The sequence below is a fragment of the Homo sapiens genome, chromosome X (assembly GCF_000001405.40).
Source record: "Homo sapiens chromosome X, GRCh38.p14 Primary Assembly".
NCBI classification, from domain to species: Eukaryota; Metazoa; Chordata; class Mammalia; order Primates; family Hominidae; genus Homo; species Homo sapiens.
In genome coordinates, this window is record NC_000023.11 from 48,051,086 (window position 1) to 48,076,192 (window position 25,107).

At 43.1% G+C, this 25,107-nt stretch overlaps 1 protein-coding gene and 1 long non-coding RNA gene across 5 annotated transcripts, besides 3 other annotated features; one reads left to right on the top strand and one right to left on the bottom strand.

Annotated features, from left to right (window-relative positions):
- ZNF630-AS1 (ZNF630 antisense RNA 1) lies at nucleotides 5,225-16,223 on the top strand. The gene is made up of 2 exons (NR_046742.2): nucleotides 5,225-5,347; nucleotides 15,225-16,223. It is a non-coding gene; the product is annotated as a ZNF630 antisense RNA 1 (long non-coding RNA).
- Nucleotides 6,431-20,555, bottom strand: ZNF630 (zinc finger protein 630). 4 transcript variants are annotated; one of them, NM_001190255.3, is made up of 5 exons: nucleotides 20,381-20,555; nucleotides 15,787-15,976; nucleotides 9,734-9,818; nucleotides 9,365-9,460; nucleotides 6,431-9,118 (listed from the first exon to the last, which is right to left on the bottom strand). In NM_001190255.3, exons 2-5 carry the CDS (start codon nucleotides 15,799-15,801, stop codon nucleotides 7,383-7,385), a joined length of 1,932 nt encoding a protein of 643 aa, NP_001177184.1. In that variant the 5' UTR covers nucleotides 15,802-15,976; nucleotides 20,381-20,555; the 3' UTR covers nucleotides 6,431-7,382. The 4 variants fall into 4 exon arrangements, with proteins under 4 accessions (NP_001177184.1, NP_001269130.1, NP_001032824.2 ...); NM_001282201.2 differs by having other exon boundaries at nucleotides 9,734-9,860; nucleotides 20,182-20,555; NM_001037735.4 differs by lacking the exon at nucleotides 20,381-20,555 and adding an exon at nucleotides 19,980-20,056 and having other exon boundaries at nucleotides 9,734-9,860.
- Nucleotides 20,526-20,785: an enhancer, noted in NCBI's record as "active region_29601". NCBI's record gives its function as "activates an Ori minimal core promoter by ATAC-STARR-seq in GM12878 lymphoblastoid cells {active_cell/tissue: GM12878}" and the evidence as "EXISTENCE:reporter gene assay evidence [ECO:0000049][PMID:35858748]".
- Nucleotides 20,526-20,893: a biological region, named in NCBI's record as "ReSE screen-validated silencer GRCh37_chrX:47931149-47931345".
- Nucleotides 20,697-20,893: a silencer, noted in NCBI's record as "fragment chrX:47931149-47931345 (GRCh37/hg19 assembly coordinates)". NCBI's record gives its function as "represses an EF-1alpha promoter that drives an FKBP-Casp9 reporter gene in an ReSE screen in phorbol 12-myristate 13-acetate-treated (for megakaryocytic differentiation) K562 erythroleukemia cells {active_cell/tissue: K562(+PMA)}" and the evidence as "EXISTENCE:reporter gene assay evidence [ECO:0000049][PMID:32094911]".

Genomic DNA, 25,107 nt, shown 5'->3' on the forward strand with positions numbered 1-25,107 from the left:
TCAATAAAAAACCCTAGACGTCAAGGCTCAGGTGAGTTTCCCTGGTTGGCTATACTTTATATGTGTTGTCACATATCATTGCTGGGAAAATTAAGTGCTATTCACTTGACTCTACTCAGAAAGGATAACCGGAAGCTTCTGCCTGGTTTCTCCTCAACTCTGCTCTATGCACCTTTTTCCTTTGCTGGTTTAATCTGTATCTTTAGCTATAATAAACCATAACCATGAATAGAACCATTCTTCTGAGTTCTGTGAGTTCTTCTAGTGAATTATCAAGTCTGAGAGTGGTTTAGGGGACCCCCAACACAGTATTCCCTACTAGGTTTTCCACGAAACAAACAAAATAGAAAAAAGAAAACAATTGAAAAACATGCATCAGAGAAATTTAGAGAGAATAAAGAGATTAATAAGTTCGAGACCAGCCCAGCCAACAAGTTCAAGACCAGCCTGGCCAACATGGTGAAACCCCATCTCTACTAAAAAATGCAAAAATTAGCCGAGCGTGGTAGAAGGCACCTATAAACCCAGCTACTCAGGAGGCTGAGACAGGACAATTGCTTGAACCTGGGAGGTGGAGGTTGCAGTGAGCTGAGATTGCACCACTGCACTCCAGTCTGGGTGACAGAGTGAGACTCTGTCTCAAAAAAAAAAAAAAAAAGAGAGAGAGAGAGATTAATAGCTCATATGACCTTACTTCTGTATAAACTGCACATTTGTCTGTGAAAAGGGCAAACATCATCAGCTACATGATTTCATTCTCCATAAAGAGAAAATAGGTCAACTTCTTAGGAAGTAAAAATTTCCAGGCCAGGTGTGGTGGCTCATGCCTGTAATCCCAGCATTTTGGGAGACCTAGGCAGGCGGATCACCTGAGGTCAGGTGTTAGAGACTACCCCATCTCTATTAAAAATACAAAAAATTAGCCGGGTGTGGTGGCATGCGCCTGTAATCCCAGCTACTCAGGAGGCTGAGGTAGGAGAACCGCTTGAACCTGGGAGGTGGAGGTTGCAGTGAGCCAAGATTGACTCACTGCACTCCAGCCTGGGCAACAGAGTGAGACTCCATCTTAAAAAAAAAAAAAAAAAAAGCAAAAACAAACAAAAAAAAAAAACAACCCCCCCCCCCAAAAAAAAACAGGCACTTAGGCCTAATAAATGTTATTGTTGATTCTTTCTAAAGGTCAGTAGTGATTTTCAGCTCAGGACTCTCTCAATGAAACTGTTTTTAAATTTTTCTGGTAGATGCTTGCAGAGCAGAGAGTGGGATTTCCTGGTTTTCTATGGCTTCTTTGCTGTTGTCTCTGTATGTGAGTTCATACCCAACTCAAGGCAAATTCCTTCTCCTATACTCTTCCACTAGAAAAGTCTTTATTATTATTTTCTCCCTACAAATATGATCTACATGTGGAGCAAAATATGTAAACAACATAAATACGTAAACACTAGGAAAGGAAAAGCCTCTATAAATGGACAAGGAAAATCCTCCATAATCTAACTTCTGACTCCCAACTCAACCTAACCATGATTATCTGGCTTGAAATAAAGCCTAACAGGCTTTATTTACTATGCATATAATCCTGTCTATCTGTGTGTTGTTTTGTGTAAAATGAGTGTGCTGTTCATTATATTCTGTATTTTCCTTGACAAAAAAAATCTGCTATATACTGTGTCTTGCAATTTGCTTCGTTCATGGTAGATTTCAGCATAATTTGAAAAAAAAAGTTTATAAAGGAAAACCTACCAATCTTCTCTCTTATGAAATCTAGATTTTCTGTAATGCTTTAAAAGGGCTTCCCCACAAAGAATTTATAAGCAAAAGATTATCTTGTTTCTCTTGTGTTTCTCTTATTACTTTTACAGTTTCAATATGTTAGGTTTAAATTTTTGTCATGTGGAACTTTTTATGTAAGGTTTCTTCTTTTACTAAGGAAAGAGACCACCACTTCCCCTGCTGCCTTCCTCTCCCCTTGTCTTGCCTAGTTTATAAGACAAGAGGAAAGGGAGAAAACAAAAAGTTGGAAAGAAACAAAAGTAAGATAAATGGCCAGACGACCTTGGCACCACCATCTGGCCTTGGTGGTTAAAAATAATAATCATCACGTTCTCCATGGTTGCCTGATCTTTCATGACCCTTTCACGTGGACCCTTTAGAGTTGTAAGCCCTTAAAAAGGCCTTTTTTCTTTTTTGAGGAGCTCAGCTCTCAAGACGTAAGTCTGCCGAAGCTCCCAGCCGAATAAAGCCCCCTTACTTCTTTAACCCGGTGTCTGAGGAGTTTTGTCTGTGGCTCGTCCTGCTACATTACAACTTCTGTAGTTTCTGGATTTTTAAAATGTTTACCTTTTTGTTACATCTGGAATTTATTTCATGTATGGTATGAAATAGGTAGAAGGCCCAGTGGGTAAGGCTCCAACTATTTTTTTCTGATGGCTACTCAGTATTGAATAATCTTTCTTCCAGGTACATGAAATGTCACTGTATTAGTCTGTTCTCACACTGCTATGAAGAAATACCCAAGATTGGGTAGTTTATAAAGGAAAGAGGTTCAATTGACTCTGCAGCGCTGGGGAGGCCTCAGGAAACTTACAATCATGGCAGAAGGGAAAGCAAACACATCCTTCTTTGCATGGCAGCAGCAAGGAGGAGTGCAGCGTGGAGGGGAAAGCCCCTTATAAAACCATCAGATCTCATGAGAACTCACTATCATGAAAACAGCATGGAGGTAACCGCCCCCATGATTCAATTACCTCCTACCAGGTCCCTCCCACTACACATGGGGATTATGTGAACTACACCTCAAGATGAGATTTGGGTGGGAACACAGCCAAACCATATCAGTCACTTATGTTTGTAAATTCTCACTTGTATTTTGTTCTCTTTCTGGTCTCTATTCTCTTTCAATGACTACTCTGCTAATGGCATTTATAAAGGAAAGAGGTTCAATTGACTCTGCAGTGCTAATGGCAGAGTAGTCATTCCCTAACAGCCTCAGAAAAAAACTAGCCCTTCCAAAACCTTGATTTTAGACTTCTGGCCTCCAGAACTGTGAGATAATACATTTCTATCTTTTAAACAACTCAGTCTATGGTACTTTATTATGGCAGCCCTAGCAAACAAGCACACCTTCTTTTGTTACTTTAAATGTGTACTTTTTTTTTTTTTTTGAGACATAGTCTCACTCTGTCATCCAGGCTGGAGTACAATCATGGCTCACTGCAGCCTTAACTTCTGAGGTTCAAGCAATCCTCCTACCTCAGCCTCCTGAGTAGCTAGGACTACAGGTGCATACCACCAGGCCTGGCTAATTTTTTTATTTTTCATAGAGATGGGGTCTCATTATGTTATCCAGTCTGATCTTGAACTCCTGGCCTCAAGTCATCCTCTCACCTTGGCCTCCCAAAGTGCTGGGATTACAGGTGTGAGCCACCATACCCAGCCTATACTAAACGGTCTATGTCTAATAACTTCTATATCTGAAGTTGTATAGGTTTGACTGTCGTTTTTTATGAATCTTGCTAATAGTGTTTTGTGTCTTGTTATCTTGTGTGCACTATGAGTTTTTACACTGTGGGTTCCTATATTTTGAAATTTTATCTGTGGGTTGAAAGGTGGCTTACACCAAAGTGGATTTATGTTTACTTCTCTCAGGCATCTTGGGTCACTACAACCTGGGACCATTTCAAGTAAATCCTTGAGGTGTTTTGCTGATACACTGGAGATGTGACTTGAGGCTGCAAAGAAGCATGATGGCAGCTAATCCTCTGGCTCAGGGCTTTTGTACTTGCTATTCCCTCTGCCTGGCATGACCTACTTCAAATCCTCCTTCACTTCCTTTGGATCTCTGCTCAAATGGCACCCTATTATTGAGACCTTCCCTGCCCACCCCACATCCACAGGTGATTCCTTGTTCCCCTATCTTGATTTACTTTCATTCATCACCAGAGGATGAATACTTATACACACAGACACACACATGCACACAACAGAAACCTATAACTATCTATGTATCACCTTTTTATTATCCATGTCCCCACAAAGCAGGAACTATTTTTTCTGCTTTGTTCACTGTAGAATACTCAAAATAGGCTGGGCGTGGTGGCTCACGCCTGTAATCCCAGCACTTTGGGAGGCAGAGGTGGGCGGATCACAAGGTCAGGAGATCGAGACCATCCTGGCCAACATGGTGAAACCCCGTCTCCACTAAAATACAAAAAAATTAGCCAGGCATGGTGGCGTGCACCCGTAGTCCCAGCTACGCAGCAGGCTGAGGCAGGAAAATCGCTTGAACCCGGGAGGCAGAGGTTGAGATGAGCTGAGATCATGCCACTGCACTCCAGCCTGGAGACAGAGAGATACTCCGTCTCAAAAAAAAAAAAAAAAAAAAAAAAACAAAAAAAACAACTCAATGGGGTCTGCCATGCAGTACATGCTCAACAAAGGTTTGCTGAACATGAAAAAACAATGTCTGGCCGGGCACAGTGGCTCACGCCTGTAATCCCAGCACTTTGGGAGGCCAAGGTGGGCGGATCACGAGGTCAGGAGATCGAGACCATCCTGACTAACACGGTGAAAGCCCATCTCTACTAAAAATACAAAAAAAAATTAGCCAGGCATGGTGGCAGGCGCCTGTAGTCCCAGCTACTCAGGAGGCTGAGGCAAGAGAATGGCATGAACCCGGGATGCAGAGCTTCCAGTGAGCTGAGATCGCGCAGCTGCACTCCAGCCTGGGTGACAGAGCAAGACTCCGTCTCAAAACAAGCAGACAAACAAACAAAAAAACAATGTCCATCCACACTCTGGGAGATTTTTAGGAAATTCTTCACTGTTCCTGTGGCTTGCTGCAAGCACTGACTTCACAGGAAATCAGACCGCAGAAGCTCGGCCACAGCAACCTCAACAAAACAGACACTCCACTGTCTGAGTCTGCTCAGGCTGCTATAACAAAGATACCATAAACTGAGTAACTTATAAACAACAGAAATTTCTTTATTACGACTCTAGAGGCTGACAAATCCAATATCAAGGTGCCAGCAGATTTGGTGTCTGGCGAGGGCCCATTTATCATTGATGGCATCTCCTTGATGTATCCTCACATGGTGGAAGGGGCAAACAAGCTCCGTCAGGCCTCTATTATTAGGTCACTAATCCCATTCATGAGGGCAGAACCCTTGAGATCAAATCACCTCCCAAAGGCCCCACCTTCTAATATCATCACTTTGGTAATTAGGTTTCAAAATATGAATTTTGGGAGTACACAAACGCATCCACTATTGCTACCCCTTCACTTTGAGAGTATCTGCCAAACCAAGATTACTGAAGCTGCAATTCTCAAGAACATGGCCTGCTCAAGGTGGGTAAAGACTGCTGACATAAATCTGGGAACAAAAATGGCTTCAGTTTCAGTGAAAGAATGAGCTTGAAATAAAACCACCTCTGCCCAAGGGACTGTGCTATGGTTTGAATGTGTCCCTTCCAAAATTCAGATGCTGTCAATGTGCTAGTATTAAGATGGGCCTTTAAGAGGTGATTGGGTCACAAGGGCTGCTCCCTCCTTAATGGATTAATGCCCTTTTAAAAGAAGATTCACGAAGTGTTCAGTTAGCTCACTAGCTTATTAGCTTGCCCTTCTGCCTTCTGCCATGTGAGGACATGGCAAGAAGGCCCTCACCAGCCCAAATGCTAGTGTCTTGATCTTGGACTTCCCACCCTCCACAATAGTAGGAAATAAACTTCTATGCTTCATAAATTACCAATATTAGGCATTCTGTTGTAGAGGTACAAAGTGAACTGAGATAAACGATAAGGGAATCATCCATCTAAAATCTTGGCACTAAGTGGAAAGGTAAAAATGCCCTCTGAACATTTATAGCCACTGGCCTACCATCATGCTTCTTTGCAGCTTAAACTCCCACCTTCCAGGTATTATGGGTTATCAAGATTAAGGATATCAGGATTATGCTTAGCTTCCTGAAAACCCACTGGGAGACTCCCTCTCTTTGTTATACCCTGGAACAAAAGTAACACATCTAAAACAGTACAAGTGAAATCAGGACCACAAGATGAAGGGTCAAAAGACAATAAAGCAATGAAAACAGGATGCACAACAGGAAATATGCTGGGAGTCCTAAGACCAAATAGATTTGTTATACTGACAAACAAAATTGGGCTGAACAACAGAATTTACCTACTGAAAAACAGAATACTCTCAGATTGGACCACAATGTCTAAAGTAGTTCTCAGATTAAGATACATAATCCAAATATACCTATAATAAACCAGAAAGAGTGAGATTAATTGAATTATACATTAAACTAAAGAAGTTAGAAAAAGAAAAAAAATTAAAAGCAGATGGAAGGATTTTAGTGAAATAAAAGCATAAATGCATAATTAGAAAATAGAAAAACGGCAAAAAATGCATGAACTGCAACACAGGTGAGGGAGAGTAAAAGAAATAAAATATTAGCATTTATTTACCTAATTGAGGGAAAAAATCACAAATACACTCTATGAGAACTATGTTGGAGAAATAACCACAGATATAAAGGAAATTAATCATGAGACTACTTTACCCAAAATTATGCAAATATATTAAGAACCTTGAGGAAATACATGATTTTTAAAAATTACAAAGAGTCCATATTTCTACATCTATATATTGATATATCAATATCTCAATCTAAATGCATATATAGGTCAGGTGCTGTGGCTCATGCCTGTAATCCCAGCACTTTGGGAAGCCGAAGTGGGTGGATCACCTGAGGTCAGGAGTTCGAGACCAGCCTTGCCAACATGGTGAAACCCCATCTCTACTAAAAATACAAAAATTAGCCGGGCCTGGTGGTGCATGCCTATAATCCCAGCTACTCGAGAGGGCGAGGCAGGACAATCGCTCAAACCTAGGAGGTGGAGGTTGCAGTGAGCCAAGATCACGCCACTGCACTCCAGCCTGGGTAACAGAGCGAGACTCCATCTCAAAATAAATAAATACATAAATGCATATATAATCTAAACAGAAAAATATGGAAAAAATAGAGAAAGATGACAAAGAGATACCCTTCAAATAATGCACCATGCCCAAATAAATTCACAAGAGAATTCTATAAAGCATTTAATGACCAAACAACACCAAAGTAGTGCTAATTCTTCCAGATACATTTATTCTGTGAAGAGGGCTGAGACAGTTTGAGGGTGAGCAAATTGATTCCATATTTGTGATGTTGAAAATATTCTGAGGGCCTAAGCAGATCATTCTGTGGAAGGGTAATCATGTATACTGAGGAACATATTAGTCTATTCTACAGTTGAGAAGTTGTCACTATTTCTATTCAATGTGAGTTTTCCCATAGACAATGAGGACTGACTTCTGGGAATAGGCCTTCCCACAATCAGCATATATACAAGGTGTCTTTCCTATATGGATTCTGATGCCCAGTAAAGTATACATGCTGGCAGAATGCCTTCCCACAGTCACTGCATCTGGAGGGTTTCTCCCCAGTGTGTCTTCTCTGATATGTAATCATCTGTGATTTCCAGAAAAAAGTCATTCCAGACTCAGCACATTCAGGGGTTTTCTCCCTAGGATGAGTTTTCTGATGTATAATGAGTGGAGACTTTCCACAGAAGGCCTTTCCACATTCACTACATTCATAGGGTTTCTCTCCAGTATGACCTCTCTGATGTAGAATGAGATGTGACTTCAGGGAAAAGGCCCTCCCACACTCAGTACACTCATAAGGTTTCTCCCCTGTGTGAACTCTCAGATGAATAATGAGGAGTGATTTCTGGGAGAAGGTTTTGCCACATTCACCACACTGATAAGGTTTCTCCCCTGTATGAATTCTCTGGTGTATGATAAGAGGTGATTTCTGAGAGAAGGATTTTCCACATTCAGTACACATATAAGGTTTCTCTCCAGTATGAAGTCTTTGATGGCCAGTGAGGTGTGACTTCTGGGAAAAGGCCTTCCCACAGTCAGTACACACATAAGGTTTTTCTCCTGTATGAATTCTTTGATGTCCTATGAGGTGGGACTGTTGGCAGAAAGTTTTCCCACATTCACCACACTTATAGGGCTTCTCTCCAGTATGCGTTCTCTGATGTATAATGAGCTGTGTTTTCCGAGGGAAGGTCTTCCCACATTCAGTACATTCATAGGGCTTCTTCCCAGTATGAGTTATCTGGTGTATAAAAAGGTGAGACATCTCACAGAAGGCTTTCCTGCATTCACTGCATTCAAAGGGCTTCTCTCTGGTATGAACTCTCTGATGTATAATTAGATGTGACTTCTGGGAGAAAGCTTTTGGACACTCAAAACACTCATAGGGTTTCTCTCCAGTATGGACTCTCTGATGAACAGTGAAAGGTGACTTCCGGGAGAATGCTCTTCCATACTTAGTACATTCATAGGGTTTCTCCCCAGTATGAATCCTCTGATGCACAATGAGGTGTGATTTCTCACTGAAGGCTTTCCTACAATCTCCACATACATATGGTTTCTCTCCAGTATGAATTCTTTGATGTATAATGAGCTGTGACTTCTTGATAAAGGCTTTCCCACACATACTACAAACATTGGGTTTCTCTCTGGCTTGAAATTTCTTATACTGAACATGGGCTTGCTTATGACTGAGAACTTTTTCACATTGACTATCTCCATAGGGCTCCATTCCAGTATGAATGAAGCCTTCCTTCTCAGGCACAGAACAGGAAGCATTATACTTAGGTGGTCTCCCACATCTAAATCTCTTAGTGGGGTTCTTTCTTGCATAGCTCCTGTTATAATTTAGTAAGTCTGAATTAGACTTCAAGCTATTTTCACATGAATCAAACTTATGGAATTTTTGACTTAAAGGAGCAAGGTCTGTGCACCGATTGAACATTTTCCCAAATGCACTGTACTTGGAACCCATCTCATCAGTCAATGTTTCACGACTGATGACTGTGACCTGCCTCAAAACTCTGTCTTGATTTCCTTGATATCTATCCATCTGATTATCAATATGCCAGATTTTTAAAACAGAGTACAATGAATTATCCTTTGGGGCTCTTTCTAGTATCTCCCTTTGAAATAAAAGTTCTCCAGAAATGATCTGCTGGGAAGATTCAAGGCCTTTCACTCTGTCTGAAGGAAGAAGAAAGAGGGAAAATCAAATACACACACACACACACACACACACACACACACACACACACACACACACACACAAAACAGTTGGCAATGAACAGAGGTACTAGGAAGGTGGCTGTTGTAGAATGAATGTTATAAAGGAGGCCTGATAAATTTTAAGGAAGAAAAAAGGTAACGGATGTCAGAGATGTCAAGGAAGAAGAAGATGCCCGCTTGACCATGTACCCAATTCTCACTTACCTGGGTAGATCCACCTTGACAACTCACTCTCTATGATCCATGGGTCCTTTCCATGTTCCAACTTAAAGATTACATCTGGTTTTATACCTGAACACCCTGTTAAGAGAAAATTGTAGTGGCTTTGGCCTTGGCAGCTCAGAAATTCATGAAGAGAAGCACTTGCAGGGGCCTCCCAGCAAAGTTGGATCCTTAACTCACACCATAACATAAAAATAAATTCTAGATATAACAAAAGTATAAACATGAAAAACCAAAACTATAAAAGAACACACTCTATTAAAGGAATATCATAAAGGTCATGGTATTGACAGCACTAAAGGAAGGATGAGGAGGATTTGATTCATTGGTACACAGGGAATCTGCCCTTACCCACGGAGACCAGGTGATTATAGGTCTCCAGCATCACATCCCTATGCAGGGTCTTCTGAGCAGGATTCAACTGCTGCCACTCTTCCTGCGTGAAGTCCACAGCCACATCCTCAAATGTCACTGGTTCCTATAACAGCACATTCCTGTACAATCTGCTCGTTCTGGTCATTTTTACCATAGCAGTACATGTAGGATGCCTACTTTGCACTTTGCCCAGCATACTTTATGAGAGAAACAATGTAAAACCCTGCCATTAGCAAGAATAGTTAGTGGAACAGAACAGACAGTCTAGAAATAGATACAAATAAAAATGGGAAATTTAATATATAATAAAGGTAGCATTTTAAACAGGAATGGAAAAACAGACTATTCAAAACTGGAGAGCTATCAGAAAAAAATTAACTGGATTCCCTACCTCACACTATATACAAAAATAAATTCATGACAAAAATTTAAATGAAAAAAGAGAAACTATAAAATAAAGACAGGAGAGGTTTTAAAAAATAATCTTTGAGTGGAGAAGACTCTTCTAAGCATGCCCCAAAACCCAGATGCCACAAATGAAAACACTGATAAATGTGACTACTTTATGTATTACATGGCAAAATATATCAAACAAACTCAAAGGATATGACTAACTAGGGAAAAAATATACACATAACAGATAGGATGGACAAAGAGTTAATTTCCTCCATGTATAGAGAGAGCTCCTACAAAGCAAGAAGAAAAAGACCAATAACTTTTTAAAAAATGGTTGATATGGTTTGACTCTGTTTCCCCACCCAAATCTCATTTTGAATTGCAATCCCCACTTGTCAAGTGAAGGAGGTGATTGAATCATGGAGGCAGTTTCCCCCATGCTGTTCTCATAATAGTGAGTGAGTTCTCACAAGATCTAATGGTATTATAAGCGTCTGGCATTTCCCTTGCTGGCACTTCTCTCTCCTGCCACCATGTGAAGAAGGTCCTTGCTTCCCCTTCCACCATGATTGTAAGTTTCCTGAGGCTTCCCCACCCCCGTGGAACTGTGAGTCAATTAAACCTCTCTCCTTTATAAATTACCCAGTCTTGGGTATTTCTTTATAGTGACATGAGAACAGACTAATACGATGGTCAAGGGACATGACCATCATTTCACAGAAAATAAAATGCAAATGTTTTTTAAACATGTAAAAAGATGCTCAACTTCACTCACATGAAGATAAATGCAAACTAAGACAAGACAGCATTTTTCCCTTACATATTATCAAAGATGGGTGTTTGATAAGTCACTGGTCAAATGCTATGACTAGGGATAAGTCACAGTGACTTAGGGTAAGTTAGTGAAGATGTCAAGAAGCAGGCATACTCAAATTGTCTGTGGTGTATGGTATATTTTGAAGGCAATTAATTTGGCAATATCTATCCAAATTTATAATGTATACATCCTCTGACTCGCAATTTGGTTTCTAGAAGTTATTCTACATAAACATTCACTTATGTGAGCAAATGACATGTGTGAAGACACTGCTCTACAGTACTATTTATAATAGCAAAAGAATGGAAACCACCTCATGGGAGATTGGATGAATAAATAATGCTACAATCTCCATAAGGGAATACTATATGCAATTATAAAAAGCAACAAAGAAGGGGCCAGATGTGGTGGCTCACGCCTGTAATCCCAGCCCTTGGGGAGGCAGGGGCAGGTGGATCACTTGAGGTCAGGAATTCAAGACCAGCCTGGCCAACATGGCGAAACCCCGTCTCTACTAAAAATACAAAAATTAGCCGAGCATGGTGGTGCATGCCTGTAGTCCCAGCTACTCAGGCGGCTGAGGCAGGAGACTTGCTTGAACCCAGGAGGCGGAGGATGCAGTGAGCCGAGACTGTGCCACTGCACTCAAGCCTGGGCGACAGACTGAGACTCTGTCTCAAAAACAAACAAACAACCAGCCTGGGCAACATGGCAAAACCCTGTCTCTACAAAAAATTAGCCGGGTGTGGTGGCACACACCTATAGTCCCAGCTACTAGGGAGGCTGAGGTGAGAGGATTACCTGAGCCTGGGAGGTCAAGACTGCAGTGAGGCAAGATAGTGCCACTGCACTCTAGCCTGGGCAACTGGGGTGAAACCCTGTCTCAAAAAGAAAGAAAGAAAGAGAGAGAGAGAGAGAGAGGGAGGGAGGGAGGGAGGGAGGAAGGAAGGAAGGAAGGCAGGCAGGCAGGCAACAAGGAAGATCTATATTAATTGATATGCCACAATATTTAAGATACACTGTTAAGTGAAAATAAACATTCATTCACTCAGCAAGCAGTTATTGAGTACCTAGCGAATACCAAGCACTATTCTAGGAACTGGGGATACAGCAGGAAAAAAAACCTGGCAAAAATACCTTCCCTGAAGGAGTTTGTATTCTAGTGAGGGGAGACAGACAAAAAGGTTGAGAGAAAAATCACTACCTGGCCAAAAAAAAAAAAAAAAAAGTTTGCAATGTGCACTTCAAAATCACTCATATACAAAAAGCTCCTGGGAAACCATAAGCAAAGACAAGGAAAGAGGGATTCACAGAGAAATACAATATGGAAAATAAATATGTGAAAAGATGCTGAAGCTTATTTAATCCCTATAGAAAAGCAAATGAAAATGAGATATAATGCTTAATCATAAAAACAACAAGAATGAAAAAAACAGATGATGGCTAATGGTGGCAGGAGGGAGGGGGAACCTTGGGAAACAGGTGGGCTTTCTTGTAAACAATTTGTGGCCACATGTTCAGCTGATTACACAGTATTGAAATACAATTTGGGCTGGGCAGGGTGGCTCATGCCTGTAATCCCAGCACTTTGGGAGGCCAAGGTGGGCAGATCACTTGAGGTCAGGAGTTCGAGACCAGCCTGCCCAACATGGTGAAACCCAGTCTCTACTAAAAATACAAAAATTAGCCGGGCGTGGTGGCAGGCACTTGTAATCCCTGCTACTCCGGAGGCTGAGGCATGAGAATCGCTTGAACCTGGGAGGCGGAGGTTACAGTGAGCTGAGATCATGCCACTGCACTCCAACCTGGGGGACAGAGTGAGACTTTGTCTCAAAAAAATATATATATATACGATTTGAAAAATACTCTTTAAATTTATAAGTCTGTGTGCCTCTGACCTAGCACACTCATGTCTGAGAATGTGGCCTACACAAATACTTCACAAATATAAAAAGATATCTTTATATGGTTGTTTTATTTGTGACTTCACTGCTTGAGAGGTCTGGTTAGGTCATGTACTAGCTGTGTGATCTCTGTGCCTCATTTTCTTCATCTGAAAAATGGGAATAACAATGGTACCTAGCACAGAGGGTTCCTGGGTGAATTAAATAAGTTAATCCCACGATATTTTATAATAGCAGTGCCTGGCACATGATAAGCACTGAGTAAATAGTAGCTATGATTCTTCTTATTATTATTACTACTGTATATAAAAGAAAAACTAGAAATAACTTTTTTACAGCCCATCAACAAGGTTCTGGTATCCTGCAAACATTAAATGGACATTTAATGGACATTAATTTGACAATGTACATCAGTAGACAATGTAGATCAGGACATAGCAAACTATAGCCTGCAGGCCAAATTTAGCCCATCATGTGTTTTTCAATGGCCCACAAGCTAAACTGGTTTTACACGTTTTCTTTTGAGACAGTCTTGCTCTATCAGCCAAGCTGGAGTACAGTGGAACAGTCTTGATTCACTGCAACCTCCTCCTCCCGGGCTCAAGTGATTCTCCTACATCAGCCTCCTGAGTAGCTGGGACCACAGGCGCATGCCACCATGCCTGGTTAATTTTTGTATTTTTTTGTAGAGATGCGGTTTCGCCATGCTGCCCAGGCTGGTCTAGAACTCCTGAGCTCAAGCAATCCGCCCACCTTGGCCTCCCAAAGTGCTGGGATTATAGGCGTGAATAGCTAGCTGTATCTGGTCTGGTTTTTACATTTTTAATGATTGAAAAAAAAGTCAAAAGAAGAATATTTTATGACACATGAAAATTATATGAAATCCAACCTTCAGCATCCATAAATAAAGTGTTATTGAATCACAGCCAGGCTCATTGGTTTACATATTGTCAATAGCTGCTTTCTACCTAAAACAGCAGATTTGAATAGTTGCAACAGGGGCCGTATGGCCCACAAAGCCTCAGATACTTCGATCTGTCCCTCTACAGAAAAAGTTTGCTGACCCCTGACTTAGAGGAACTGGACAAATTACTTGAAAATTACAATTTACCAAACCAGACATAAAAAGAAATAGAAAATCTGAATGGTAGTATATCTTTTAAATAAATTGAATATGTAATTTAAAACCTTCCCACAAAGAAAACTCCATACCCTGATGGCTTCACTGGGGAGCTCTTTCAAACATTTAAGAAGGAAATAGGCCGGGCGCAGTGGCTCATGCCTGTAATCCCAACACTTTGGGAGGCCGAGGTGGGTGGATCACCTGAGGCCAGGAATTCGAGACCAGCCTGCCCAACATGGTGAAACCCCATCTCTACTAAAAATACAAAAGTTAGCCTGGGAGGTCAAGGCTGCAGTGAGGCAAGATAGTGCCACTGCACTCTAGCCTGGGCAACTGGGGTGAAACCCGGTCTCAAAAAAAAAGAAAGAAAGAAAGAGAGAGAGAGAGAGAGAGAGAGGGAGGGAGGGAGGGAGGGAGGAAGGAAGGAAGGAAGGCAGGCAGGCACTTGTAATCCCAGCTACTTGGTGGCGGGCACTTGTAATCCCAGCTACTTGGGAGACTGAGGCAGGAGAATCGCTTGAACCTGGGAGGCAGAGGTTGCAATGAGCGGATATCGTGCCATTGCACTCCAGCCTGGGCGACAAGAGTGAAACTCCATCTCAAAAAAAAAAAAAATTTAAGATGGAAATAGTACCAATATTACCCAAATTTTCCCAGAGAATATAAAGAGAATACTTTCCAACATGAGGCCAATGTAACATGATACCAAAAGGTGACAGAAACAATAGAAGAAAGTAAAATTACAGGCCCTTATGTCTTATGAACACAGTAGTATAAACCCTAAACAAAATATTAACAAGGGATTGGCTAGATCATGATGATGATGACGATAGGAGTAGGTGGGGATGAAAGATAGATAAAACAAGCTTGGTTATCAGTTGATAATATTTGCAGATGGGTAATTACAAAAGGGTTCACTAAAATCTCTACTTTCGTATATATTTTATATTAGGCAAGAAAAGAAAGTAGCAGAACGGAATAGAAACAGTGTGTGTATTTTTTGTGTGTGGTAAAGAAAAAATACATGACAATAATGAGATCACTTTCACACATTTACACATCCATCTACACACATAGATGGAGTTATAAATGCATAAAGAAAAGAGATCCTCCTCAAACCAGATAATCCTAGTTATGTCGGGGAAGGAGGAAGAAGTAAGATTGGAGATATTTCACTTCCTTTTTTTTTTTAAACTATATTGTTTACATTCTTTGCCCCATGTATAGATTACCTTTTCAGGGAGAAAAAAAAAAAACGACTAAAATTGGAAGAGCAGAGAAGGAACTGCCTTGAGTTGGGTTGAGACCCCACAAACTCTGAGATGACAGCAAAGGAGCCATGGAAAACAAGGAAACTATCCCACTCTCCAAGCCCCTGCCAGAGAACTTTAACTAAAAACAGTCTCTTTAGAACAACTACTGACAATACCACCCTGGACTGAAAACCACTGACCTTCAGGAAAACTCAGTAATAAAATTCCTCAAGTTAAAGTCCCAGAAATCTTGACTTGCTAAGGAGCTGGACTGATTTCTTTTTGTGGAGAATGCAAATCACATTATTGATCATGTTATGTTACCCTTTTCACTGAAGCTGCCAGTCAAAATGTTTTGCTTATAGTCAAAATTTTAGCTAAGTTTCTATGAAGTAAGGCCAGGTGATCTGTGTATCTTCACAGCAATTTTGCCTGTTGATCATCTATTCTCTCTAAATTTCTCTAATCCTTATTTTCAACTAATTGCCCTTTCTCATTTTGTTGTGGGAAAACCAAGTGGCAAACAAATAACTTACCTGGGACTCAATCATTTTCTGTTTCTCTTTGGAAAGCAGTTGGGGGCGGGGTGGGGTGCAGAAGAGTCTTCGGAGATCAAGCTGAGTTAACCACTCTTCAACAGCTGGATGTGACAATGTGTTGCTTGTTAATTCATTGATGACTTGTGTTTCTCATCTGACTCGGTAATTCCATTTCCGGAACTTCGTCCTAAGGTAATAATCATGGATATGTGCAGATATTTAACCACAGAAACCTTCAACACAGTTTTGTCTTTAACACCATATTATTGAAAATAACACAAATGCCCAGCACTAAAGACTGCTGCAAAGGCAGGCAGCCCTTAAAAGCAACACTCCAGATGATTCAAAAAGGTTCAGGAAACACCACCAGCAAATGTAAAGTATGGTCTTGTCTGGCTCTTTACTTGAATAAACAAAAGAAATTTTTGAGATAATCATGAAAGTTTGAACCCTGACTAGATATTTGATAACATTAAGGAATTTAACCATTGATTATCTGAAGATATTATTGCTAATTATTTTACCTTAGGGTAACAGCATCAACCTTTAAGGCCTTATCTTTTTCATAATGAAGCATGTATGGATGAAAATATGTGTCTGGGATTTGTTTCAAAATAATAAAGACTACCCATGTAAAAAGTCATTGAACTGCATACAGGCCGGGTGCGGTGGGCCAGCACGTTGGAAGGCCAAGGCGGGTGGATTGCCTGAGCTCAGGAATTGGAGACCAGCCTGAGCAACATGGCGAACCCCATCTCTACTAAAAAAATGCAAAAAGCAGCCAGGCGTGGTGGTGCATGCTTGTAATCCCAGCATGTTGGGAGGCGGAGGTGGGCAAATTGCTTGAGCCCAGGAGTTGAAGACCAGCCTGGGCAACATAGGGAGACCCATCTCTACAAAAAATTAGCCTGGCGTGGCGGTGCACAGCTGTAAGCCCAGCACTTTGGGAGGCTGAGGCAGGCAGATGGCTTGAGCCCAGGAGTTCGAGACCAACCTGGTCAACATGGCAAAATTCGCCTCTACTAAAAATACAAAAATTAGCCAGGCGTAGTGGTGGGCGCCTGTATTCCCAGCTACTAGGGAGACTGAGACATGAGAATCACTTGAACCCAAGGAGGTGGCATTTGCAGTGAGCCGAGATTGAGCCACTGCACTTCAGCCTGGGCAACGAGCGAGTGAGGAAAGAGGAAAGAAAGGCAAGAAAGGCAGGAAGGAAGGCAGGAGGGAAGGCAGGAAGGAAGGCAGGACAGAAGGCAGGAAGGAAGGCAGGAAGGAAGGGAGGGAGGGAGGAAGAAGGAAGGAAGGAAGGAAGGAAGGAAGGAAGGAAAGAAAAGAAAAGAAAAGAAAAAAGAAAAGAAAAGAAAAGAAAAGAGGGAGGGAGGGAGAGAGGAAGGAAGGAAGGAAGGAAGGAAGGAAGGAAGGAAGAAAGGGAGGAAGGGCATTCCGGGAGGAAGAAGTGAGGGGGTGGCCTAGATGAGGACTTGGCAAACTTTTTCTGTAAAAGGGTCATATGGTAAATGTTTTCAATTTTGTGGGTTCTGTGGTCTCTGCTGTAACTACTCAGCCCTGCCATTGCAGGTTGAAAGTAGCCCTAGACAATACATAAACTAAAGGTGTTCACTGGCTGTGTTCCAATTAAACATCATTTTTGGGCACTGACATTTGAATTTTATATCATTTTCATGGGTCACAAAATATTCTCCATTTGATTTTTTTCCAATGATAAAAAGTGTGAAAAAACCATTTCTTAGCTCATGGCTGTATTTTTTTTTTAAAAAGCAACATGTCATATTTGGCCCACTGCCCAGTTTTCCAGCCCCTGGTCTAGATAAAACAAGATGGGCCATGAGTTGATGACTGATGAGACTGGGTGGTGGGCATAATGGGGTTCCATTATACAATTCCCTCTATTTTTGTGGATGCTTGAAAATTTCCATAAGAAAGGTTTATAGTTAAGTATTACCATAGAAATAAACCAAGTCGTACTACGGGAATTAAGTTAATGGCATGGAAACATCACTGTAAAATGAAGAAGAGGCAGAACACAAGAATGTATTCCTAATTGTTTAATAACAGAATAACAGGCCAGGGGTGGTGGCTCACACCTGTCATCCCAGTACTTTGGGAGGCCAAGGCAAGAGGATTGCTTGAGTCCAGGAGTTCGAGGCCAGCCTGAGCAACATAGTGAGACCTCGTTTCTACAAAAAATAAACAAAATTAGCCGGGCGTGGTGGTGCACACCTGTAGTCCTGGCTACTTGGCAGGCTGAGGCAGGAGAGTCACTTGAATCCGGGAGGCGGAGGTTGCAATGTGCTGAGATCACGCCATTGCACTCCAGCCTGGGCAACAGAATGAGACCCTGTCAAAGAAAAAAAAAAAGGAAAAGAAAAGAAAACAAAAAAAAAATACCATGTAGATCACACATTCTCACTGGGGGGTGATACTGCCCCCAAGGGGACAAAAATTAGTTCTTGGAGGCAAAACAAAACAAAACAAAACAAAAACAAAAAAAAGCTTCTTAGATATTACAATGGGTTGTGACCCTCCAAAGCAACCATAGCTGACAAAACCTTATTCCTTGGTATTTAATTTCCTTCACCAGATTTTGGTATTACATGAGCAGCAGTAACCTTGAGTTCAAGGAAGATCCATGAAATATATACAAAATTAGTGCTGCAAAACTATGGCGAATAGGTAACATTCAGGTATTAACTCACTTCTCATCCCAAGCCTCACAGGGTAGGCCCTGCTATTATCCTCATTTCGCAGTGGGAAACTGATGCCTAGAGAGGTTTCATGAGTTGTCTAAGATCACACTGCCAGTGATTTAGAGCGAGGTGGTAGAGGAACAAAAAGTAAAGAACTCCTCCCAAGCTGTCCTAGCACTAAGATTTTCAGGCAACACCCCTTGCTTCTGGATGCCCTAAAAAATTAGTTATCCTCCTAAATTCCACAGGACATTGTCTGTTTTTTTTTTTTTTGTTTTTTGTTTTTTGTTTTTGAGATGGAGTCTCGCTCTGTCGCCCAGGCTGGAGTGCAGTGGCGCGATCTCGGCTCACTGCAAGCTCCGCCTCCCTGGTTCACTCCATTCTCCTGCCTCAGCCTCCCCAGTAGCTGGGACTACAGGAGCCCGCCACCACGCCCAGCTAATTTTTTTGTAATTTTAGTAGAGACGGGGTTTCACCGTGTTAGCCAGGATGGTCTCGATTTCCTGACCTCGTGATCCGGCCGCCTCGGCCTCCCAAAGTGCTGGGATTATAGGTGTGAGCCACCACGCCCAGCCGATATTGTCTGCTTTTTAACTGAAGAATGTGCTTTACAGTTCAAAATTAACTGAAAATCTTCATATTTAAAGCCATAAAATGAAAAGAGAAGCCAAAAGCTGGAAGGAGATATTTGCAAAACACATACCACTACTAAAGGAGTGGTATCAGAATATATAAAAACAATTCCTGGCCGGGCACGGTGGCTCACACCTGTAATCCCAGCACTTTGGGAGGCCGAGGTGGGTGTATCACCTGAGGTCAAGAGTTCGGGACCAGCCTGGCCAACATGGCGAAACCCTGTCTCTACTACAAATACAAAAAAATCAGCCAGGCGTGGTGGCAGGCGCCTGTAATTCCAGCTACTCGGGAGGCTGAGGTAGGATAATTGCTAGAACCCAGGAGGTGGAGGTTGCAGTGAACCATGATTTCTCCACTGCACTCCAGCCTGGGCGACAGAGTGAGACTTCGTCTAAAAAAAAAAAAAAAAAAAAAAATTCCTACAAATCATTAAGAAAAGGGCAGAGAGTCCAACAGAAAAATGAACAAAAGACAGGCCCCTCACAAAAGAAGATCTCCAAGTGATGAATCCATATAAGAAAATGTGCTCAAACTTATTGGTCATGAGGGAAATACAAATCAAACCACCAAGTTGGACTTCTCCATCGGAATGTGGACACCACAGGAGCAGAGATTTTTGTTCATTCATGCACATATGATTGATCTGAAAAAGCCACCCATCATGGACCCCACAGAATGTCAACACTGACCCCACACACACTCCCATTCTTGTCCTCATAGACCCTCATCCCTCACCCCAGATCCCCCTATCCACTCACCCCACGGATCAGCATCCCTCACCCTACAGACCACCCATCACTCACCCCAGACTCCCTTCACCCATCCCATAGAAGCCCCATCACTCACCCTTACAGACATCATCAAACACCGCACAGATCCCCCATCACCCCACAAACTCCCATTTGCATAACCCACATACTGTTACCCCTGGTCCCACAGGCTCCCCTATCACTGTTCTCCACGTCACTCAATCCCCTCCTCAGGCCCTCCACTTGTCTCCATCCGTCACTGATCACATAGACCCGCAGCACTCAGCCAGGCCCCTCACCCCGGCTCTGCTCTCAAGCCGGGCTTGGCTCCCCGCCTGCCCAAATGCGTTCAACATCCCCCGAAAGGCCATTTCCCTTCCAGTCTTCCCGGAGAGATGTCAGGGTGACGAGGGAGCTTATCTTTCGGTGGCTCCGAAACAGCCACGAAGCCGAGCTCTACCAGTAACAAAAATGGCGTCATTCCGCCAGCGCCAGGACCTCTGTCGCTGGCCGTGGTCTCGCACTGCTTCTGGAGGCTCCCATTCCAGCCAGAGGAGAGGTGCGTTTGGGGGCCCGGGGGAGTCCTCGTGATATCTCCGAGTTTGGGTATTCGGAATTGATCCTACGAAAGCAGTGTGAGGCTTGGAAGGGCCGCGACTTGTCCGGGTGAGTGGGCGTTCCCGGCCACCAGAAGAGGCACGGCCTGAGCAAAGGCGTGGCGACATGGCAGGGTGGGAAACGGGGAAAGTGGGAAGGCTGGACAGAGCACCCCCCGGGAGATTCCTCCGCAGAAGCGAATTCCTAAAACGTCTGGAGAAAGGGAAGAGACCTTTGACATCATGCAGCCTTTCAGGGGGCTCACACATACCCGCCCACTTCTCCCCACCTGGCCTCGGCGCCCTGCCGCCTTCCTATTGTTCCTGCTTGGCGTCAGGACCCGCCCCCATCTGTCACTCACTGCCCACCGGTCCTCCATTGGCTCCTTTGAACACGGAAGGGCCCACCTTCACCTGTCATTTACAGCCTGGACTTCTGCCTGCCCTAGTTCAAGTAGGCTTATATGGCCTTTTGCAGCCCGTATCAAAACTAAAAGAGTTCATAGAGTCAGAGGTTCGAGGTAAAACCTAAGGGACATTGGTTTTAGACGACTTAACAAAGGGCTGGATTGGAAGTCAGCCCGGAACAGGATTGCAGAGTTAACAAAGGTTCATGTTCGATACAAAACGGGAACTCTGATGGTTACAATAGTTAAGAAAGTCCTAGGATTCAAGACCTCTATCAGGGTGTATGGATGGAGAAAACATTAACAAATATCCTGCTTGAAGATCAAATCAGAGGGGCACTGGTGGTGCAATAGTAACCCAATTCCAAAGTTATTTCAGAGAGGCCTTAAATGGAAGGTTAACTTAGACCCAAATCTGAGCCAAGACCAGAGACCCATTAAAGTCACGTGATGTGGTTAACAGAGCCCCGGAATTCACAGCCTATACCAAAGGGGTAATGATGGTGGAAGAATTAATCAAGGTCTGACTTCAAAGTCAAACCAAATGGCATTCATGATAAAAATGTTAACTGAGGGCTGGGCACAGTGGCTAACACTTGCAATCTCAGAACTTTGGGAGGCCAAGGCGGGAGGATCACTTGAGGCCAGGAGTTAGAGACCAGCCTGGCCAACATGGCAAAACCCTATCTCTACTAAAAATACAAAATTTAGCCAGATGTGGTGGCACATGCCTGTAGTCTCAGCTGCTTGGGAGGCTGAGGCATGAGAATCGCTTGAACCTGGGAGGTGGAGGTTGCAGTGGGCCAAGACTGTGACACTGCACTCCAACCTGGGGGAGAGACAAAACTCTGTCTCAAAAAATAAAAATAAGAAAAAAATGTTAACTGAGGGCCGGGCACAGTGGCTGACACCTGTAATCCCAGGACTTTGGGAGGCTGAGGCGGGAGGATCATGTGAGCCCAGGAGATCAAGACCAGTCTGGGCAACATAGTGAGACTCCATCTCTATAAAAATAAATGTTAACTGAGGATTGGGGTTGGTGGATACAGGAGAAGGGGCACAAGTAGCTAAAAAGTTAGTACAGCCTTGATTTTCTGTACATACCAAAGGATCATAGATGGAGAGGACTCAACTGAGGCCTGCAGTCAGTGTAAAGATCTGAGGGATGCAGAGCGTAGTGGCTCACTCCTATAATCCCAGCATTTTGGGAGGTGGAGGCAGGCAGATCACTTGAAGCCAGGACTCAGCATAGCCAACTTGGCGAAAACCTGTCTCTACTAAAAATACGAAAATTACCCAGACGTGGTGGTGCATGCCTGTAATTCCAGCTGCTTGGGTGGCCGAAGCATGAGAATCACTAGAACCTGGGAGGTGGAGGTTGCAGTGAGCAAGAACTGAGGGGCAGTAATGGGGAAAGAGTTAACAGACATGCAAAAAGATTCACATGTAAATTGCCCTGGTGATGGAAAAGTGAACAGAAACTCAAGCTTAACACATAGACCCAGGATTATTAATTTTCCACCCTCAAAGCCCTGAATTCTCTCTCTAGATCCAAACCCATTAATAGTGGAATGGATAACAGATTCCCCAGTTCAAGGTAAAATTAAGGGTTGATTTAGGTTGGAAGAGTTAATAGAAGCCCAGGTTGGAGAGCACAGATAAGAGACTTTGATGGTGGAATTGCTAACAACAGCTGGGGTTTGAGGTGAGGTCAGAGGGATAGGGATGGTGGAAGAGTTAAGAAGGACATGGTTTGAGTATAGACCAGACGGGCCATCAATGATGGAATATTTCAAAGATGCCTGTATTCATTTCCTGTTGTTGCTATAGCAAATTATCACAGACTTACTTGCTCAAAACAACACAAATTTATTATCTTACAGTCCTACATGTCAGAAATATGATATGGGTTTCACTGGGCACTCCCTACAGAGGCTTAGGAGAAACTCTGTTTATTTGCTTTACCTAGCTTCTGCTAGAAGTCACCTGTATTCCTTGACTCATGGTCCCTTCCTCCATCTTCAAAGCTGACAGTGTAGCATCTTCACATTGCTCTCTGACGGTAACCTGCTTCCATCATCACGTCTCCTTTTCTAACTCAAACCCTTCTCCTTCCCTGTTTTATATATATATGGAGAGAGAGAGAGAGAGAGAGAGAGAGAGAGACAGACAGACAGGATCTTGCTCTGTCACCCAGGCTGGAGTGCTGTGGTGTGATCAGACACTGTAACCTTTAACTTCGGGGCTCAAGCGATCCTCTCACCTCCGCCTCTGGAGTAGCTAGGACTACAGGCACATGCCACCACGCCCAGCTAATTTTTTTACTTTTCTTTTTTTTTTTTAGACAGAGTCTCACTCTGTCGCCCAGGCTGGAGTGCAGTGGCGCAATCTCGGCTCACTGCAAGCTCTGCCTCCTGGGTTCACGCCATTCTCCTGCCTCAGCCTCCAGAGTAGCTAGGACTACAGGTGCCCGCCTCAACGCCCGGCTAATTTTTTGTATTTTTAGTAGAGACAGGGTTTCACCATGTTAGCCAGGATGGTCTTGATCTCCTGACCTCCTGATCTGCCTGCCTCAGCCTCCCAAAGTGCTGGGATTACAGGCGTGAACCACCACGCCTGGCCATTTTTTAACTTTTGGTAGAGACAGGGTCTTGCTAGGTTGCCCAGGCTGGACTCCAATTCCTGGCCTCAAGCAATCCTCCCAACTCAGCCTCCCAGAGCGCTCCCTCCCTCTATGAAGGAGGACCCTTGATTACATTGGGCCCATCTAGATAATGTAAGGACCCTTGATTACATTGGGCCCATCTAGATAATCCAGGAAAATCTCATCTTAAAATTCTTAATCACATCTGCAAAGTTCCTTTTGCTTTGTAAGGTAACATATTCACAGGTTCTAGGGGTTGGGAGAGGGATATCTCTGGGGGGACTATTAATCTGTCTACCACAATGCCCAATGTTTAAGTCAAACCAGAGGGCCAATGGGGGCGGAAGATTTGATTGAAGCATAGGGTATTAACAAGAGAAAACGATCAATGGTTTGAATCAGATTTAAGTTCACATAGGATGGGCCTAGATGAGGGGTCCAGGCTGTTACGTCAGAATTGCATCAAGGGCCTGAGTTCAAAGTTAAAGGAAATTCAAAGTCAAAGTTCAAATTTCAAAGGAAATTGATGGAATCTCAACAGAGATCCTGAGCTCTGGATCAAAGCCCCAGGAGCACTGGTGGTTAAAAAAAAAAAAAAAGTCAACAGAGGCCCAGGTTTAAGATCTACAATATAGACACATTGATGGTGGAATAATTAACAGGTTTGAGGGTGGGCTGGGTGCGGTGGCTCATGCCTGTAATCCCAACACTTTGGAAGGCCGAGGTGGGCGGATGACAAGGTCAAGAGATCAAGACCATCCTGGCCAACACGCTGAAATCCCGTCTCTACTAAAAACACAAAAATTAGCTGGGCATGGTGGTGCACTCCTGTAGTCCCAGCTACTCGGGAGGCTGAGGCAGGAGAATTGCTTGAATCCAGGAGGCAGAGGTTGCAGTGAGCCGAGATCATGCCACTGCACTCCCACCTGGTGACAGAGCGAGACTCCATCTCAAAAAACAAAACAAAACAAAACAAAACAAAAAATCTGAGGGCCATTGATGATTAACGACTTAACAGGGCTGGGTGCAGTGGCTCACACCTGTAATCCCAGCACTTTGGGAGGCTGAAGCAGGAGGATCACTTGAGCCCAGGAGTTCAAGACCAACCTGGACAACATAGCAAAAACCCATCTCTACAAATAAAAAAACAATTAGCTGGGTGCAGTGGTACATGCCTGTAATCTCAGCTACTCCAGAAGCTGAGGCAGGAGGATCGCTTGAGCCCAGGACTTCGAGGCTGCAGTGGGCTATGATTGTGATACTGCACTTCAGCCTGGGTGACAGAGCAAGACCCCTAAAAAAAAATTTAACAGCCAGCCAGATTCAATGTCAAAAAATGGGAGCATTAATGCTAAAATCTATAACTGAGCTCTAGGTTTAATATATAAATCAGAGTGGGAAAACTAATGGTGTTAAGAAACCTGGATTTAATTCACAGATCAGAAGAGGCATTGATGGAGGAAAAATAAAAAGAAGTCAGGTTTGGTTTTCATGCTAGAAATGAGTTGATGATGAAATAGTTAACAGAGATGCCCCAACAAGTGGGGCATTAGGGGTGGAAGCATTAACAGAAGTAGG